This window comes from Homo sapiens, chromosome 2, assembly GCF_000001405.40.
Source record: "Homo sapiens chromosome 2, GRCh38.p14 Primary Assembly".
NCBI classification, from domain to species: Eukaryota; Metazoa; Chordata; class Mammalia; order Primates; family Hominidae; genus Homo; species Homo sapiens.
The window spans coordinates 46636798-46656834 of NC_000002.12; the positions used below are offsets into that span (position 1 = coordinate 46636798).

At 43.5% G+C, this 20037-nt stretch overlaps 1 long non-coding RNA gene across 1 annotated transcript; it reads left to right on the forward strand.

Annotated features, from left to right (window-relative positions):
• Positions 1 to 5271: 5271 nt before the first annotated feature.
• On the forward strand, positions 5272 to 18192 carry LOC105374584 (uncharacterized). The gene is made up of 2 exons (XR_940058.3): positions 5272 to 5307; positions 11218 to 18192. It is a non-coding gene; the product is annotated as an uncharacterized LOC105374584 (long non-coding RNA).
• Positions 18193 to 20037: the final 1845 nt, after the last annotated feature.

The window sequence follows — 20037 nt, forward strand, 5'->3', positions numbered from 1 at the left end:
GTCTATTTTCATCCAATATACTGGATACTCAATAGGCCCTTTTAGTCTAGACACCAATGTCCTTTAAGAAAATTTTCTTAAAGTAGTATGTGACTATTTTCTCCCCTCCAAATTTTCTGTTCTCTTTCCAAAACTCCTTTTATTCAGATGTCACACAAGTTTTCATCTTTTCTCTACCATTCCCCTTGTGTGCATGTGTGTTTGCAGTTTCCTCTACTTTATGGGAGATTTCCTCACTTTATCTTGTCACATGTCTGTAGTGTTTCATTTCTTCTATCTTGTGTATTTATAATGTCTAAGGTTTTGCTGTTATTATTCTATGATTTTTTAGAGTATTCTTGTTCCATGGGTATACTAGCTTCTCTTCTGCCTATGAGTATATTAACAGCTTTTTTTTAATTGAGCTGTATGGCCCAGCATGTGATTTATCTTGGTGAATTCTCTCCATATGCTTGAAAAAAATACAACAATCTTGCGCTTGTTGGATCAGTGTTCTAGAAATGTCAATAGGTCAAATTAGTTAATGCTGTTATTTAGTTCTATGGCTTTACTGATTTTTTTTCCACTTGTTCTATCAATTACTAAGACAGACGGATTAAGTCTTCAACTATAGTAGATTTTTCTGTTTCTCCTTGCAGTTCTTTCAGTTTTCATGTATTTTGAGGGTCTTTTTAAAAATGCATACACATTTAAGATTTTTATGCCCTCTTTATGAATTAATCCTTTATCATTATTAAATATCCCTTATTATCCCTGGTAATATTTTTTGTACTGAAGTCTACTTTGTCTGATAGTAATATAACCATTCTGGCTTTCTTATAATTAGTGTTTTTATGACACATATTTTTATATGATTTTACTTTTTATCTATGCCTTTATGATTAAAGTGGGTTTCTTGTATACAGCATATACTTGGGTATTATTTTTTATCCAGTCTGACTTTTAGAAAAAATTCAGCCTGTCTGTGAAGTGTTTAGATTATTTTCATTTAGTGTAACTATTCAGTGGTTAGGTTGAAATCTAATAACTTGCTACTTGTTCATTTGTCCTACCTGTTGTTTGTGCCTGTTTTCCTCTTTTTGTGCTTTCTTTTGGGTTGAGTGCTTTTTTTTTTTTTTTTTTTAGATGGCGCATCAGTCTGTTGCCCAGGCTGGAGTGCAGTGGCATGATCTCAGCTCACTGTGAACTCCGCCTCCTGGGTTCAAGTGATTCTTCTGTGTCAGCCTCCCAAGTAGCTGGGATTACAGGCATGTGCCACCACGCCCAGCAATTTTTTTTTTTTTGTATTTTTAGTAGAGATGGGGTTTCACCATGTTGGCCAGGCTGGTCTCGAACTCCTGACCTCATGATCCGCCTGCTTCAGCCTCCCAAAGTGCTGAGATTACAGGCGTGAGCCACCACGCCCAGCCTAATGTTTTTCTTGACTCAGTAAGATTAACAACATCTGCTTGGGTATGGAATGTGTCTTCAGGACTCACGCCTCTCAGGAGTCACAGTCCTGTGCAGCCTGCTATTCAGTATCAGAAAATACTTTCCAAATATCCCAGTTTTCTAGCTGCTTAGGGCAGGAAGGTAAATCTGGTCCCTCACAGTCAGTCATGGCCATAAGTGGAAATCGATTATAGTTTAAAATTTTAAAGTTTTCATCTTCCTGCAGAGTCTCTATTACTCCAAGTTGCTGTGTTCTGTTTGTTTAGCAATCTGTTGTTGGAGGTTTTCCTCAGATATCTGGTCATTTCTTGTTGTCCGCTCTTTCTTTTCTTTTTTTCTTTCTTTTTCAGGTCTTACTCTCTCACCTAGGCTGGAGTGCAGTGGCACACTCATGGCTCACTGCAGCCTCAACTTCCCCATCTCAGGTGATCCTCCCACCTCAGCCTCCCAAGTAGCTGGGATTACAGGTGCATGGCACCACATCCAGCTAATTTTTGTATTTTTGTAGAGATGGGATTTCACCATGTTGCCCAGGCTGGTCTCAAACTCCTGGGCTCGAGCAGTCTGCCCACCTTGGCCTCCCAAAGTGCTGGGATTACAAGCGTGAGCCACTGCACCTGACATCTTGCTCACTCTTAATAGAGTAGGATGATCATTGGGTTGTTTGAAAACTGCTTGTATTGGTGGTCCAGTTGACCATGAGTTTAATGTAAGGCAGAGTTTATCAACAGTGACACTAATGACACTAATGATATTTTGGACTGGATAATTCTTTGTTGTGGGAGGCTGTTGTGCATTATAGGATGTTTAGCAGCATCCTTGGCCTCTATCAACTAGATGCCAGCAGCACACCTCCACCTCCAACCCCCAGTTTTGTGGCAATCAAAAATGTCTTTGGGCCGGGTGCAGTGGCTCACGCCTGTAATCCCAAGAATTTGGGAGGCCGAGGCAGGCGGATCATCTGAGATCAGGAGTTCGAGACCTGCCAGGCCCACATGGTAAAACCCCATCTCTACTAAAAATACAAAAATTAGTCGGGTGTGGTGGCACGCACCGGTAGTCCCAGGTACTCAGGAGGCTGAGGCAGGAGAATTGCTTGAACCTGGGAGGCAGAGGTTACAGTGAGCCGAGATCGTGCCACTGCACTCTAGCCTGGGCGACAGAGACTCCGTCTCAAAAAAAAAAAAAAAAAAAAAAAGTCTCCAGACATTGCCATATTCCAGTTGAGAAACACTAATATAAGAGTATCTATCTAGGATGTTTGTGAGGAGACTCTTGAAGTCGTTGTGTTTAGGTGTTTCATATTGAGATAGTCATATTCTCCAGAAAATAGCCCTGTCATTTACCTTGCCTGAAGGATAAAGTGCAGGAAGAGAGCAGGGAGCCCGAGTAGTCAATACACATACCTTCACTTATTCTCCCTACTTTAAGTACTTCATGCCCGCCCTCAACTGTGCCTGGTGTTCCTTCACCCAGAAACCATCTTTTTTCCCCTCTCTGGAACCTAAACCTGTAGACATTGGCCAAAGTGTGGGAGGAGCAATCAACCAGTGATATAAAGTGGGAGAAAGGAGAAATCCAGGAATTCACCTGACTCTCAAACAACCTTCATTCAACCAGTCTTCCTTAATCCAACATCCCAATTCACGCCACTTCTAGAGATCTCATCAACTCTTGAGCATTTTGACAATTCTGGAGTGCATATTGAATTTGTTCTTGTATTTACTTAATGTCCATTTACAACTTGGTTTTTCAAGCCTGCCACCCTCCAAAATTTGGCTCCTTTGATACCTTTTTTCACATCATTATCCTTAGAGTTTATGCTAGCCCCACACCCCCCAACAAGCATTTTATATAGTTTTAGTGGGAACCCTTGGGAAGGATAAAAATTAAATGTGTTTTGGCCGAGTGCTGTGGTTCACGCCTGTAATCCCAACACTTTAGGAGGCTGAAGCAGGCAGATCACTTTAGGTCAGGAGTTTGAGACCAGCCTGGCCAACATGGCGAAACCCCATCTCTACTAAAAATACAAAATTAACAGGACATGATGTTTCACGCCTGTAGTCCCAGCTACTCAGGAGGCGGAGGCAAGAGAATTGCTTGAACCTTGGAGACAAAGGTTGCAGTGAGCTGAAATCGTGCCACTGCACTCCAGCCTGAGCAACAGAAAGAGACTCTGTCTCAAAAAAATAAAAAAAAAAATAGGCCAGGCACTGCGTCACGCATGTAGACCCAGCACTTTGGGAGGCTGAAGTGGGCAGATCACTTGAGGTCAGGAGTTTGAAACAAGTGTGACCAACATGGTGAAACCCCATCTCTACTAAAAATACATAAATTAGCCGGGTGTGGTGGCACACGCCTGTAATCCCAGCTACTCAGGAGGCTGAGGCAGGAGAATCACTTGAACCCAGGAGGCAGAGGTTTCATTGAGCCGAGATCACACCACTGCACTCCAGCCTGGGCAACAGAGTGAGAGTCTGTCTCAAATAAATAAATAAATAAAATAAATTAAATTAAAATAAAAGGTGCAGGCATGTATCAGTTCTAAAAAAAAAAAAAAAAGTCTATTTCATTCTTTTTTTCCGGAAATGTCAATTTCATATGCTTTTGAGACTTTTGTCACATTTCCAGTGGTTGCCAGACATTGACCGTTACTTTGGAATGTAGGTTGTCAGGTGGAAGGTGATAGATATAACCTTCCTTCATTTTCTTCCCATCCTTCCTAATGTGTGGCCTATAGATAATATTGCAATTAGACTTTGACACAGAAAGGAGATACTCTAATTAGTAGAAGAAGTAGTGGAGACAAAAACAAGCAAAGGCATGGAGGTGGGAATAGAGAGTGAGATATAACAGAGGATATAGGACATTAACCTGATTGAAGTTGAAGTTCATGTTGAAGGGTCATGGGAGATATGAATATAATAAATAGATTAGGTGGGACCAGATTATAACACCTAAAATACTGGATCGAATAACTCAGATTGGATCTGGGAAATAATAGGAAAGTACTGTGGACTTTTTTTGTTGTTTGTTTTTTTAGATGGAGTCTTGCTCTGTTGCCAGGCTGGAGCACAGTGGCATGATCTCAGCTCACTGCAACTTCCACCTCCCGGGTTCAAGCAATTCTCCTGCCTCAGCCTCCTGAGTATCTGGGACTACAGGCGCACGCCACCAGCTAATTTTTGTATTTTTAGAAGAGACGGAGTTTCACCATGTTAGCCAGGATAGTCTCAATCTCTTGACCTCGTGATCCACACACTTGGCCTCCCAAAGTGCTGGGATTACAGGCGTGAGCCACTGTGCCCAGCTGGACTTTTCATCTGAGAAATAATCTGATGAAAGTAGGTTTAATCTAATAGCTCTGACAACAGATGGACAAGAATAGGGAGAGAGTAGAGTCAAAGCAATTTTATAGGAGACTGTGGGTGAAATCCAGATAGGAGTGATAAGGTACTAGGCCATAGTGGACGAGGTGGGCATGGAAAGGACAGATCAAAAAGTCATGGACGGCAGGCGGAGTGTTTTGGGCCTATAATCCCAGCACTTTGGGAGGCTGATGCAGGAGGATTGCTTGAGCCCAGGAGTTTGAGGCCAGCCTGGGCTACATAGGGAGACTCCATTTATACAAAAAATTGAAAAATTAGCCCAGCATGGTGGCACGCTCCTGTGGTCCCAGCTACCCAGGAGGCTGAGGTGAGAGGATTGCTTGAGCACAGGAGGTTAAGGCTGCAGTGAGCCATGATTGCACCGTTGCACTCCAGCCTGGGTGACAGTGCATGACCCTGTCTCAAGGAAAAGAAAGAAAAAGAAAAAGTCATTGATAGCCAGGCCTGGTGGCTCATGCCTGCAATTCCAGCACTTTAGGAAGCCAAGGTAGGAGGATCACTTGAGCCCAAGAATTCAAGACCAGCCTGGGCAACATAGTGAAACCTAATCTTTGTTTGTTTGTTTGTTTGTTTGTTTTAAAGGCATTGACAAGGAAATTTTTATTGGATTTGTTACCTCCAGCCAATATAGAAGTTAAATAGATGTCAGCCAAGCCTATGGAAGCTTGTGTTGGATGACAAATCTAAACATGAAATAAAATGTTTCATGGCTTGTTTCTGTGGCAACTAACCAATGTTAGATGTGGCAAGAATTGTGCCCAGTAGAGCATCACATGATTCTGGAGTGCGTATTGGAAAGTCAGTTATTCATTAGAGAGGCCCACTCAAGGCAACTCAAGAAAAGGGAAAGAGAAGCTTTTGTAAATCCGCAGAGTGATCTTTCTGGAATGTAAGGATTCCTGAATAGGAACAACTGGCCTTCTTGGATTATAGAACTGGAAACTATCAGGGGAACCAGCCCCCAGTGTTTCAGTGTAGGTTCTTTTCTATTTTCCCTAAGTGTCAGCCAGTGTGAGAAATAAAGAGAAAGAGTACAAAGAGAGAAATTTTACAGCTGGGCCTCCGGGAGTGCCATCACATATTGGTAGGACCGTGATGGTGACCTTGAGCCACAAAACCAGCAAGTTTTTATTAGGGGTTTTAGAAGGGGAGAGAGTGTACGAATAGGGAGTGTGTCACAGAGATCACATGCTTCAAAAGGCAATAAAAGATCACAAGGCAAATGGCAGAGCAAGATCACAAGGACAGGGCGAAATTAGAATTACTGATGAGGTTCCATGTCCTGCTGGGCACGCATTGTCATTGATAAACATCTTAACAGGAAACAGGGTTCAAGAGCAGACAACCAGTCTGACTAGAATTCACCAGGCTGGAATTTCCTAATCCTAGCAAGCCTGAGGGCACTGCAGGAGACCAGGGTGTATTTCATCCCTTATCTTCAACTGCATAAGACAGACACTCCCAGAGCGGCTATTTTAGAGACCTCCCCCTGGGAATGCATTCCTTTCCCAGGGTTATTCCTTGCTGGGAAAAGAATTCAGTGATATTTCTCCTATTGGCTTTCTGCAGGAAGAGAAATATGACTCTGTTCTGCCTGGCCTCACAGGCAGTCAGACCTTATGGTTATCTCCCTTGTTCCCTGAAAATCACTGTTATCCTGTTCTTTTTTAGGATGCCCAGATTTCATATTATTCAAACATATGTGTTTTACAAACAATTTGTGCAGTTAATGCAATCATCACAGGGTCCTGAGGCGACATACATCCTCAGCTTACAAAGATGATGGGATTAAGAGATTAAAGTAAAGACAGGCATAGGAAATTATAAGAGTATTGATTGGGGAAGTGATAAATGTCCATGAAATCTTCACAGTTTATGTTCAGAGATTGCAGTAAAGACAGGCATAAGAAATTATAAAAGTATTAATTTGGGGAACTAATAGATGTCCGTGAAATCTTCACAATTTATGTTCTGCTGTGGCTTCAGCTGGTCCCTCCGTTTGGGGTCCCTGACTTCCCGCAACAGGAAACACTTTCATAATATTGCTTGTGCTTTTTCATTGAACACATCTTGTACAAGGCCCCCTAGAGGCTATTCCAGGCCTTGAGGCCACATGACCCTTCTGGCTGTGTCTCTGCCTGCATTTTCCCTCTTGCTTTCAGTTCAGATGACTGAAAGAGAACTAGGGCCCAGCTCCACTTTTCAAGACAGAGTGCAAGTTACACATAACTGAGTGGCCAACTATGGCAGGGGATAGGTTGTGGGGAGTGGTGGGGTGGGGGGCTTACAAAGCAATGTTTATTCAGCAGGGACCATGCATATGGCAGGAAAATGTACCTACCCAGCCCCAAATGAAACATTTGCTTAGTTAGAAAGGAAACTGGAACTTTTTGGTGTACAACCTTAACTTTTGAAATTGGTATCAGGTACAGAATCCCCATGTTACCTCACAAAGCCACAGTCCAGGTGAAAGTGTGAAAAGACTATGGGATTGGCTTACTGTGGTTATTCCTGTGGTTTATACCTCAAACTAACAATTCTCCCTGAATCCCACATCAAGTCTGCTGCCTGCTGAGTCATCTGGCCTCTTTGACAGCACCCATCAGTCTTTATAAAGGCTTCCTTATATAATATTTATAAAGAAAGGGGCTGGGCGCTGTGGCTCACACCTGTAATCCCAGCACTCTGGGAGGGCAAGGTGGGTGGATCATGAGGTCAGGAGATTGAGACCATCCTGGGTAATACGGTGAAACCCCGTCTCTACTAAAAATACAAAAAAATTAGCAGGGTGTGGTGGCAGGCACCTGTAGTCCCAGCTACTCAGGAGGCTGAGGCAGGAGAATGGCGTGAACACGGGAGGCAGAGCTTGCAGTGAGCCGAGATTGCACCACTGCACTCCAGCCTGGGAGACAGAGCAAGACTCTGTCTCAAAAAAAAAAAAAAAGGGGGGTGCAGTTTGCAGGCCAGTGGACTAATGCACCCTCACCATATAGCCCCACAGAAATTGGTCTGCCATGGAGCTCTAAAGAACTCATAATTTCTCCAAAAGGACCATCTTTCTACACCTATGCAATTGTTCAAGATCAAGGGTCAGCAAACTGTGGTCCACAGGCCAGTTGCATATTTATGCACATAAAGTTTTATTGGAACATAGCCATAGCCATTTATTCACATAGTGTGTATGGCTGCTTTTGTGTACAATGGCAGAGTTGCAAATCCTAAAATATTTACTGCTTGGCCCTTCAAGAAAAAGTTTCCTGACCCCTGTTTTAGTTAGTTCTGGAATGATGAGCATGTGTGGAAAATCCTCGGGTTGATGCAGAAGCTTAGTGGCTGCACAGTAGTGATACATTGTTTTCCCAGGCTATTTTATTGTTTCTTAATTTCTTAATCACTTTGTGGATTAAATTCATGGCCAGAAGTAACTCAGACATCTCTAAGGATTGTCCTATTGGCATAAGCTAAAGCACGTATTATTCTACATTCATGGATTAAAATATTAAGTAATTTGATCTAGATGATTGTTTACAGTTTAACGCAAATACACTTAGTCTGTTCTGATTATTTACTCAAGGATTATATTACTACATTCACTCAAGAATAATAGTATGTAATCATTTCCTGTGGGATCTGCAATGTTTGGGCCTTCCTTCAAATTCGGTTCTCTGATTTGTCTCCATGACATGGAGTTGGCCTTTAGGTTATGTGATTGAGGTTCCTCAAACAGGATGTTAATTTTCCACTCTTCGTGGCAGGAGAAATATAGTCTAATCTCATGATTTAGTGAGCCAAAGAGCTGTATCCCTTTTCACACTATCCTTCTTTTATAAAATAAATGTTAATTTTGTTTCTTTGTGCATCTTTTGGAACAAACTTGTATTTTCAAAGCCCTCACCCCATACTCAGGTGAGCATACTTTCTAAGGCAGCCCATTTGGAACAAATGAGCTTTAGCCAAGAGTTTAATGATAAAAATATATTGCTTGCAAAAGCTCTAATTTAGCACTCTGGTGCCTCCTACATGGTTTTGCCAACAAACTCATCTTTGCCTGGAATATAGGCTCTTCGAAGGCAGCTGCCACTCTCTCTTCAAGATGTGAGGGGGAAGAGAGTTTGAGGCTTTTCATTGTGAAGGACCCTCCACCCCCGTGTTCCTCCTACAGGCTCCTGATTCACACAGCACAAGTTGAGAAACAGGGAAATGGAATCTTCTTGCCCAGGCATGTAGCAGCTAACTCCTTTGAATCCGAAAAATGTGTGTTCATAATCACCAAGTTTGAAATGCAGAGTCATCACTGCTGCTGGAAATCTGAGGCTGGTTCAGAGCCAGACCAGCTGCTCCTGGGGCCCTCTTCTACTTAAGAGGCAGTCTAGCCTGTGGCCTAGCCTGTTCAAGGTTGCTCTTTCCCCAGAGCCCTGGTACTCCCTCTGTCAAGTTTCCACTTATCTTTCTGGCCTATCCAGGAACCCTTCTCTGAGTTCTCAAGGACTGGCTAGGTGTCCTGCCTCACAGTCACCTACAACCTGCATTTTCCTCATCATAACTTTGAAATTGCTACTTTGCCTATCTTCGCATGGGCTCTTCCTCCAACTACACTGTGAGAGCCTTAAATCCAGAAACCATGTCTTTTTTTTTTTTTTTCAAAGAGAGTCTTAGATGAATTTGCCAGGACTAAAATACAGAGTTCCTTGTTCCCTGTATATAGCCCACTATAGAAATTCAATGGTTTTTGAATGAAAGGATAAATGAGTGAATGAAGGGACTTCGGATCTGGCTGGGGCAGAGACTGTGGAGCTAGAAACTTAGGTTGCTTTCCCTTTCTTCCCTTCCCATCCCTCCTCTTCCAAAACCCAAGTCTGACAGGCTGTGAAGCACCTCTATATACGACTGATGGAGCTTTAATTGTTCACCCAATCTTTAGAAAAGATCCTTTTAATTCAGCACTGTGCCCGAAGTCCAGGCACTTAGCTCTGGATGCCCGACTGCAGAAAATACCAACAGCCAGTAGAAAAACTGCACCAATGCTGGGGGTCCTATTTTAATTATTCTAGAAAAATTCACTTTTTGCTCAGTGTTTGGTTTCATTTGGGGCTGACCTCCTTTCTTGCAGGCCCTAGATTCGTGAAATCTATATTAATCAGCAGAATAATATTAGCCAATTCCTTACCTCGTTTTTCCTTCCCCTCATTTGGACAGCTAGCCTGGTTTGTACTCCTTATCTCAGAGATGAGATGTGATAATAAGAGGCAGAGAAATAAAAGTATGTTCCTGGCTTTTGGATTCAGAAGTTGCCCTTATGGGAAGGAAAAAACAAACAAATGTGGCATAGATAAAATATTTGGAAGAAAAGATAACAAGAGTAGAAAAGAGTTTCTTAGGGGGAGGAAGTGAATTCATGGGAAGGTACAGAGGGCAGAGATGTTTCTGGATCCTGTGTGCTACTTCACCCTGGGAAGGTGACACAATTGCAGATGTTTTTGTGAGACTTGGGAGCAGAAAAGACATGTTCTTTGCATCCTCAGTGAAGCCCCAGAGGAGAAATGGGTGCATAATGGGTCCCCACTGAAGAGAACGTAGGCAGATGTGCAAAGTTTCCCATGCCCCAGTGAGAAAGAAGCATGTCTCTTCATGCCCAAGAGCACATCAGAGAAATGGAGAGTGCTCCTGAATCCGAAAGGGTCACACAGACAAGAGTGAAGAATGTCTCAATAAATACCAGTGTGGAAGAATGATCTTGAGGACCACATCCTTCACTCTCTCTCCTTCCCCCCTCCCTTTCTGCACATCTTGCATCTCAGAAGCCCCCTCCCGGAAACTAGATACAACTCCAGGGGAAGGTGAGGTTGAAATCCACAAGTTCACTGAGATAAAGTTTCTGACAATGCAAAGAAAGGGAGGCTTGAAATCAAAATTAGTTTCTATTTCTTACATAAATGTCTGGACTAGAATTGTGTCCACTGCTCAGATCTTACTTATATTCAGGGATGACGTATCTCATGGAAGAACAGGGCTCAACGAGCCACTTAAATGTCTTCCTATCAAATGTTAAGGTTCTAGAAACCAAATGGTGGGTATATTATCCAACATATGCCGTGAAAGCAGAGCCAATCCTGGGGGAAAGCTTCTCTCCTAATGGTAAGGTGTCCATATCCTCTGCCCCAAGAACCAAGACAAGTGATCTGACAAGTGTGAAGACTGCTTTTCAACATGAAAAAGAGTTTTCTTAAACTCAAGCATGATATTGGCTCTACTTTGAATATCAGTTACGAAAATTCATAACGAGCTGAGGTATCTTCACTAACATTGCAAATTAATTTCTTGTATTCATCACAATGACATTTATGTGTATTTGAAAAGTAATCCATATGGATGAGCATATTTTTCATTCACTCTACAGACGGAACATGCACGCTGGTTTGCAGATCCCTTGCAGTGACTCTACAGCTCCCAGGAATCTGAGGTTCACAAGGTGAAACCTACCAGGCCAAACAATTTAAAATTGGTTTTGTTTTGAAAATCCAGTAAGTATGATGGCAATGTCTTGCAGAAATTCCTCTTTTAGTATTCCAGTCTGTGGGCTCTGGCAGAAGTAATAGTCTGCTGCAAACAGATCACTCTTTTTTGTTTGCAAAGTCTTCGTACCAGCTGAATCACAGCTTGCTTTTCACTTTTCGTAACACCTTGCAACATCGCAAAATATTTGCTGGAGTTTGTGAAGGGCGGCTGCAGAATTAGTAAACTGAAAGGAGGCCTTCCTTTACTCCCACCCCTGTCAGCACCTTCTGTTCTAGCAGACCGAAAGGCAGCTTGAGAACTCTGATTGCTTCTCTAGATTATGACAATTCTTGGCACCATCGCCCGGGGCAAGAATGGAAGCAAAGGAAACATTATGGAGTTTTGCAGGTGCCAGTACATAATATTGTCACTTTACAAAATTGAATTTATAAATGACTTCATGAAGGTGAGTTGCTATGGTAACCAGCCTTCTCAACTTTTATATCTGGAAGTAAGGATCATATGGCCCCTTCTGTTTGGGACTATGTATTCTGGGTTTAATGAATAACTACCCATCCTCTAACTTCTAGTTAACTAGGCTCATGGGATGCTAGACCAGGAAGCAACATTAGCAACCATCTCATTCCACCTCCTTCATTCATAGATGGGAACTGAGACACAGAGAAGTGGCACTACACAGCTAACGTGTGTCAGCCCTGAGCCTATGGTTTCTCACTTAGTTTTCTTTTTTTCACAATGAGTGATTTTTGCAAGCCAGTTTAGTTATATATTGTTATTTTTAAACATTTTAGATTGAGAGGGTCCATATGCATATTTGTTATATTGTGTGCTGATGGGGATTGGGCTTTATGTTAGTCAGGGTTCTCCAGAGGAATGTTTTCTTGCTTAGTTTTCTAGTGCTCTTTTCTTTCTGCCACACTGAATTTCTGAAGGGACGCACCCAGCTTCCACGAGTGGATAAGAGACATGGAACCACAGTTAGACACAGGGCCACTGTCACTTCTTACTGAGATGTTAAAACAAGTCCTGTCCATGTACTGGTGTGTGAAGTGTCTAATTTTCTCTATCAGAATTATTACAAATTCCACATGACAACAACTTCCACTGATTCAAAATGATGTATGGGGGGACAGTGTGGGGAGGTGGGGAATGACCTGAGGAAACGTGATCTAGTATTGTGGTTCCATAGTCTAGCATACATAGATTAGCAATCTGCAAAGAATTAGACTGTACCCGAATTGTAGTGAGCATAACGTAAACTTCCTTTAGTCACTCAAAAAAATATATCTTTGGTTTTTTAAAGTCTAGTTTCTTGAACAATAATTCCTGTTGCATAAATACATGAAAAGGTGCTTCGGATAACAGCTTTTCTTCCAGTTAAGAAATCACCAGGCCACAGAAGATTTAGCTATTAGGATTTTCCATAGATTCTTGGAGTGAAGAATGGCAGAAGCTTAAGAGTATTTAGTACATTCTTCTAAAAGCAAAACAAAATGCCAAATTAAAACTAAACAGTGAAATTAGAGTGTTCGTTCACTTTAAAGAGATATGAATACAAACACTGGATCCTCAACAGTCTTTAAACATTGCAGATCACCTGGATATCTTGTTAAAATGCAGATTCTGGTTCAGGAGGTCAGGGAAGAGACCCAAGATTCTGCATTGCTAACAAGCTGTCGGGTGGTGTCAATGCCGCTTGTCCTTGGTCTATACCTTGAGTAGAAAGGGACTAGTTAACTTGCTGTCTCCTTGAATGTGTTTTCTGTGAGGGTCAGCCCTGACCACCCCAGTCACAGGAATCTTTCTGGCCTCCGGATTCCTAGTGCTCATATTGTATATATCGTCCACAAGGTACTTAGGTACTGTTGTATATTGGTATGTCCCATATGTGCATGTCTTCTGTCCCCAACCAGATTGTAAGCCCATCTGTGTTTGCTCAGCCCTGTGTGTGCAACAGAGGTGCTGAATGAAGACCTATCGATGATTGATTGATACGTTAAAGATTATTTCCTCCTTCCTCAGAATGCTACACTTCGCTCATCAATGGAGCTCAAGATGTAAAAGTCTGGTTTAAGAGACATTGAATCTATTCTGCCTTTTATTATCCCTTTCTTATAAGTTGACTTTTAAGAAATCAATGACTGTGTGGAGAGTTCTAACTGGGTACGTAATAAAATAACCAACTGTGGGGGTGGGCAGGGGGCCCTATCGCACCAGGAAGCTTGTTTATTGGTTGCATTAGACCACTAAAGTGGAAGCACTGAGATATTCTGGAAAGAACACAGCTTGGGGGCCAACAGATCTGGGTTCAGAGCCTTACTGCATCACCTACAAGTTGTGTCTCTTTAGAAAATTTACTTAAAATTACTGGGAATTTATTTCATCATCTGTACAATGGGCTACTTTTTTCTGTGATTGTTGTAAGAATTGTAATAACTGTTAAATTGCCTAGCATGGTGCTCAGTACAAGATGTTACACTCTCGGCGGAATCACTTCCAAGTCAAATTGGAAATTGACTGTTAGCCACCCATCACTCTGGTTTGAGAAAGCTGGTGGGATAGTTTACATGCATGGCATTAGCGCCATCTAGTGGTGTGTTACTGCCTACGCTTCCTTACGGAATTCTCTCTTCCAGTACCTTTGAATGGCCACTTAATTTATTCATTTTATTCAACAAGCATTTATTGAATGCCTACTGTGTGCCAGACACTGATTTGGCAGCTGAAGCTACAACAGTGAACAAGATAGATCATGGTCCCTGCCTTTAGGGAGTTTGTGGTCAGGTGGGAAGATAGAAATAAAATAATTACTGAAATAAAATTTGAATTCAACTTATGAAAAGCACTATGAAAGAGTACAGTAGCCTGTGAGTTTATAATAAGGCTTCCCTAGGGAAGTGACATTAAAGGTAAGAAGCATAGAATCCAGTCAGGAGACCACATCAGGCAGGTAACAGCTGCCCAGCGGCACCTCCCTGGACACATTTACCCCATCAGGATCAGGAACCTGCCAGTCTGTCAGGAGCTCCCATCTTGAACTGAGGCCTGTTTCATCAATCATCTAATGTCTATCACATCCCACTCTGTGCAAGTCACTTTACGTACGCCACTGCGGACTTTCTCATGTTATCCTTTTACAGGCGATGTGCAATGAGGTTAAGTAACTTATACAAGGACATAAAACGGCATGTCAGAGTCAAGATTCACACCAGATCTTTCTGCTCACAGCGCCCATGCTCTTTCCTCTACTGAAGCTGTCTCCCAGATGCCAAGCCCAGATCTCTTTATTCTGCATTATGCTGCTTGCCTTGACAGAAAGGAAACCATTAGAAGTGCTTGGGGAGAACGAAAATGCAGAGGGAGGGCGGGAAAATTAAATAACAGCCCAGTGGGTCATGTGTGAAGGGCAGAGAGGAAACTGCTGACTTGGCTAGTTATGTTCTTCTGGTGTGATTTTAGGAAAGTAAACCCAAGAGATCCCTTTCATCAGGAAAGAGAGTATCCCTAATAATGTTGCTTATACTCTTGTGGTTTAAAATGTGTTGCAGCTGCTGCTAAATTGAAATGATTTGGGGGATCATTTGGAGAAGAGAGGTTATCCTCTGGAAATCTATAGGAAGTTGCAAGGATTAATAACCACTAAGGAGCAGAACATTGCTGGGTCAGAAAATAGCTGCAGGACTTAGAGGTTTTCTGCAACACAGGACTTTCAGCTTCAAAACTGGGACATTCTCATGGCAAACTATGGCGATTGGTCACCTGGCAGTGAGCCAGACTGGGAGGATCTGATGTACCCATGGAAGTTAGGCCGAAACACTTATTGAAATCTGGGGTCAATTTGAGGCCTTGGCCACAGACCAATGCAGAAAAGGTGGGCAAAGCGTGGTACAACGAGTACCTTGGTACTCAGTCCCTAGATTACCAACCTAGAGCACCTGCTGTAGGCCTTGCATGCAGAATTAGTTGGCCCCAGTTCTGAGGGAGGGCTCAGGCAGAGGACAAGAATGATCACAGAATCAGGCCACTCTGTGCTTCAGCTTCCTTATCTGCAAAATTGGATAAATAGCAGCACTTTGTGCCTAAAACTGCATGTGAGATCTGTTAGTTAATATGTGTAAAGTGCTCAGAATGGTGCCTGGTCCATATGAATATAGGAAGTATCACCATGGAATTCTCAGGAAGAGAAACAGGTGTGTGGCCCTGGCTGGATCATGTCTATGATAGCTCAGTTTTCCATCTGTAAAATGAAAATCAAAGTCCCTGCCAAAGCTTTCAGAAGAAACAGAACAAGACACAGTCAACAAGGAAAGAAGTCACAGATAGTAGGTAGGAACTTGTGCTCTGAAATCAAACCCCCTGGATTACATCCAGCTCTGCCTCTTAGATGTTCATTTATTTATCTGCCATACCCCAGCCACCACCGCAAGACCCAAGAAACCAGGGTTGAAATGCCAGGCACCAAAGCTGCTGCAGCCATCATCCAAACCCTCCACACAGACCAGTCACTGGCCCCAGTCACTGGCCCAAGGCAGGGTGGAGCATCCAGACAAGGTGGGGAATGGAATTTGCCCAATAATGGATGCCAATGATTTGAGGAAGACAGCAGCCAAGGGAGAAATGGAAATGCAAACCAGGTACAAACACCAATGGGCCCGGCGCTGTCCTGAGCACTTTATGCATTAGTTCATCTAGTTCTCCTGGCAGTCTTATGAAGTAGGCACTGTTATTCACCCCATTTTACAGATGAAGAGACTGGGGCGCACAGTGGCTATAACTTGCTCAACTCACAGAGCGAGCCAGAACTCTGGGCAAGTTTGTTGACATTTCTAGTCCCTAGTTCCTCTCAAAAGAATGAGGGTAATAAGTTATGACATCTCCTCATAGATTTGTTATGCAGATTAGATGGGATAGTCTATACACAGCACTTAGCAAAGGATCAGAAACATTTTAAGCACTCATACTTAAACCCAAAGTCACTCACTAGGTAATTGGCGTGATAAGATACATGGGCTATAATTACCAAAAATATAGCTGGTAATTTAAGAAAATGGCCAAATGTGCAAGGTAGTAAAAGTCTAGGGTGGGGCAGGGGACATAAAATACCATAGGAACTGAGGAACAGGGGGTCAGGTCTGAAGAATCTGTTTTGCATGAGACACTTTGTAGGCCTTTGGAGAGAAATTGTGAGGAGGACTTGAAGGACGGACAGTTGGCCCCCAAACTCCAGGCTTTCACTCCCTGAACTAAGAGGGACCTTGAGCAAGCCTTCACCTCTGGGAAGAAGCCCTCAGCAGCCCAGATAGGAGAGCTGAGGTGTCTGGAAAAGCCCACACCGAGGCCCAGGGCTGGGCCAGTTATGGAAGGCCATCAGTGCAGCCCCGTCTTGACTCCTGCTGCAGAAAGACTGGGCAGGGCCGCAGCTCCAGCCCATGTTCCAGATTTCTGCCATGACCACCCTCCTGCGTGCCAGCTTGAAACCACTGTTTGTTGACATGATCTCCCTGACTTCATCCATTTAGATCATCTTTGGCTCACTGACCTCAGCCCACTCCCTTCACCTGCTCTATTATTTTATTGTGACCCCTGATTCCAGGCAAGACATTCCATTCACTCCATCAGCCCCAATCTGGGAACCTTGTCAGCAAAGAGGATTGGCCAGGGATGAGGAATTGTGGTGAGGTGAAAGGAATATCTCTGATAAGAGATGTAGCAATGCTACTCACTAATAGCTCTAGATTCTTGGCAAATGCCTAGGAACTCACCCCACATTTTTCAGCAGAGGGTGTATTAGCTGCATTTTGGAAACCTATTAAGAGTTGTAATTAGCAGCAGGGAGAGAACAAGAACTCTTCTCTAGGGCAAGTGATAACAGCAGTAAGCATTGAGTGGACAGTGATCATCCAGCCAAGCCATGATACCTTTCCTCCTCTTCCACCTCTTAAAAAGAGACTGGAGCTGTGCTCTCAGGCTCAGGGAATTCTACCTGACTGTACTGCTTTGCCTCCAGATGGATTCCCTCTCCTGAGCCCTTTCAGGTAGACGGCTGCATTGGACAGTACCTGGTTTGCATTTCCATTTCTCCCTTGGCTGTTGCCTTCCTCAAATCACTGGCATCCATTATCTGGCAAATTCCATTCCCCTCTTGTCTGGATGCTACACCCTGCCTTGGGCCAGTGCCTAGCGGCCCCTGGCCTGTGTGGAGGGTTTGGATGATGGCTGCAGCAGCCTTGGTGCCTTGCATTTCAACCCTGGTTTCTTGGGTCTTGAGGTTGTAGCTGGGATGTGGCAGGTGGAACCCAACAAGGAGATTTACCTCCAATGGTAAGGAGGGGTTTCTGTGCGAGGAAATGAGCACCTGGGAACCCAGGCGGCCAAAGGTGATTGAATTGTTCCGCACAAACTGGGTTACCCCTCAGGGCTGATGTGGCCTGGAGAGACACCCCTAAAGTCATCATGTGCCTCTAAGATTTCGCTAGGAAAGTTTCCAAGAAAAGGCTAGATTTCCATTGGGCTTGAAAGGTGAGCCACCCACACTGGGCGCTCAGGTCTGCATTTCTGCTCCAGTGTTCCCTCAGTCCAATTTTACACAGCAGTAACACCCTCTTCCCCTCATGTTCTGTTGTGTTCTGCAGATCCTACAGGGGAACATCATGATAATGAAACCTTTGTGTTTTCCATGGCTGCTACAAAAAGACCAGATCAAACATTTTATGACACTTTTGTTTTTGTGTTTCTGTATGCTGCATGTGAAAATATCTATTACACAAATCAAGCACTCTGCTTTCCATTGCCAAGCATCTTTGGCACAAGAGCTGTAATAAGAAGTGTAATGAACATAAAACAGTTTTTAGAATCACTCCTTTGGTAGCTGGTATATGAAGCTGACAAGGCCCCCTCTGCCAAAGCTGCAGAAGGTCGGGCATATCCTTCCCTTAGCTCATATGGCTGCAGAGGAAGGAGGTGTCTTTCTTTGGGCTTCATCGCCAGGCAACCCACACACTTTGATGCTCACCTGTCTGCCTTGGGGGACTGGAGTTGAATGACTGCTTGTTTTGCTCCTGGGATCTGTGGGCTCCACAGTCGTCCCAGGCCTCCTTGCTTAATCGGACTCCCACCCATGGCATCTGAGTAGTTCCTCTTCTGGTCCTGTCACTATCATCTCCCTTTCTCTCTCTCAAGGCCTGTCCTTCTGTAGTACATCTTTTTAATAACTGGTAAGAGTCTCCTCCGACCTTCCCTTTGGAGACCTTTTCTCTTCAGTCAATCCCCGCCCCACCCAATCCCATCCCTTGTTCTCAGCGTCCTGCTCACAATCCCTTTTACTATGCCACTGACTTACCCAGACTGGCTAGGACATCTCTATTTGCATTGCATTGCAATATGGACTGAGGTGAGCTTGCCTATGAAATCAGCTGTGAACTTATTTTTTGTTAACTGTGATTTTAAAGGGCAGGGAGGAGAAAATGAATACTGAGGGAAGGAAAGGAGACCTAACATTTATTGAGTCCTTGGAGTTCTTGAGATAGATGCCTCATACACGTTAACTTATGCATCCTCACAATGATCTTGGGAGGTGTTATTTACTCCATTTTACAGAGGAGGAAATGGAGGTTAAATCACTTACACAGGCTGGGCACGGTGACTCACGCCTGTAATCCCAGCACTCTGGGAAGCCAAGGCAGGAGGATTGCTTGAGCCCAGGGGTTTGAGACCAGCCTGCCTCTACAAAAAAATAATAAGTTTTTAAAAATCACTGCCCAAAGTTCCAAAGCTAGTCAACAAAGAAACCGGTTACAAATTTGCTCTTCATTTAGTGTAAAAATCAATGAAACTTTTCTGAATGTTTCAGTCTTTAAAAAAAAAAAAAACATGAAGCATGCCATCCAATGAGCTGTGTGACCTGGGGCAAGTCAGTGGACCTCTCTGGGCAATAGTTTGAACATCTTTAATGTCAGGAGCCTGTGCTAGAAGGTCCTAACTCCTACAAGCTTTTAACCCAGGCTGTAATTGCCCTTGGGACTTCTTCACATCCAGTCCAAATCTTTAAAGAACCCAAGTCATGCTAACAAGAAATAAATGACTAACACTCTGGGAGCGCTAATCAGGAGCACTTCAGGAATTCCCTTCCTTTTTCCTGCCAGGCAGCAGTTTCACAGCCATTCTCCAGCTCTCCTAAATCAGGATCTGTGGGTGGACAGGAGGATGAGAAACACAGTGCTAAAGGGGCCTGGGTTTCTATGTCACCACCCCTGCCTACCCTCTGCCGCAGCCACTGTAGCCAGCGTGCCTCCACCTGGCTGTCTTTCCCTACACAGCCCGCATGCCCCCCATAGCTGGCTGCACTATGGGAAGGACTGATCCCCACCAGACAAGCTGGACTTTCCTGGCCTCCCTTGCACCCTGGGAGATCCTTGTCCATGTGGGGGAAATAAGATTATATTTATTAAAAACAATATAATTTATAGCCTCCGTGTACACACCTTGAAATTCCTGGGGCCATAAACTGGAAGGGCATTTCTTTAATCCCTGCAATTTACAGTTTTTACTCACCTGGCTTAGGTGGGGGGAAGAATCACACACATACATACCTGTTCACACATACACACATATGTATATGCACGTGTGTATACTGACTCTCTCCTTGGGATTTGCTAAGCCTCTCACATGAAGCCTCAACAGCCCTAGGGAACTGTGCTCAGGT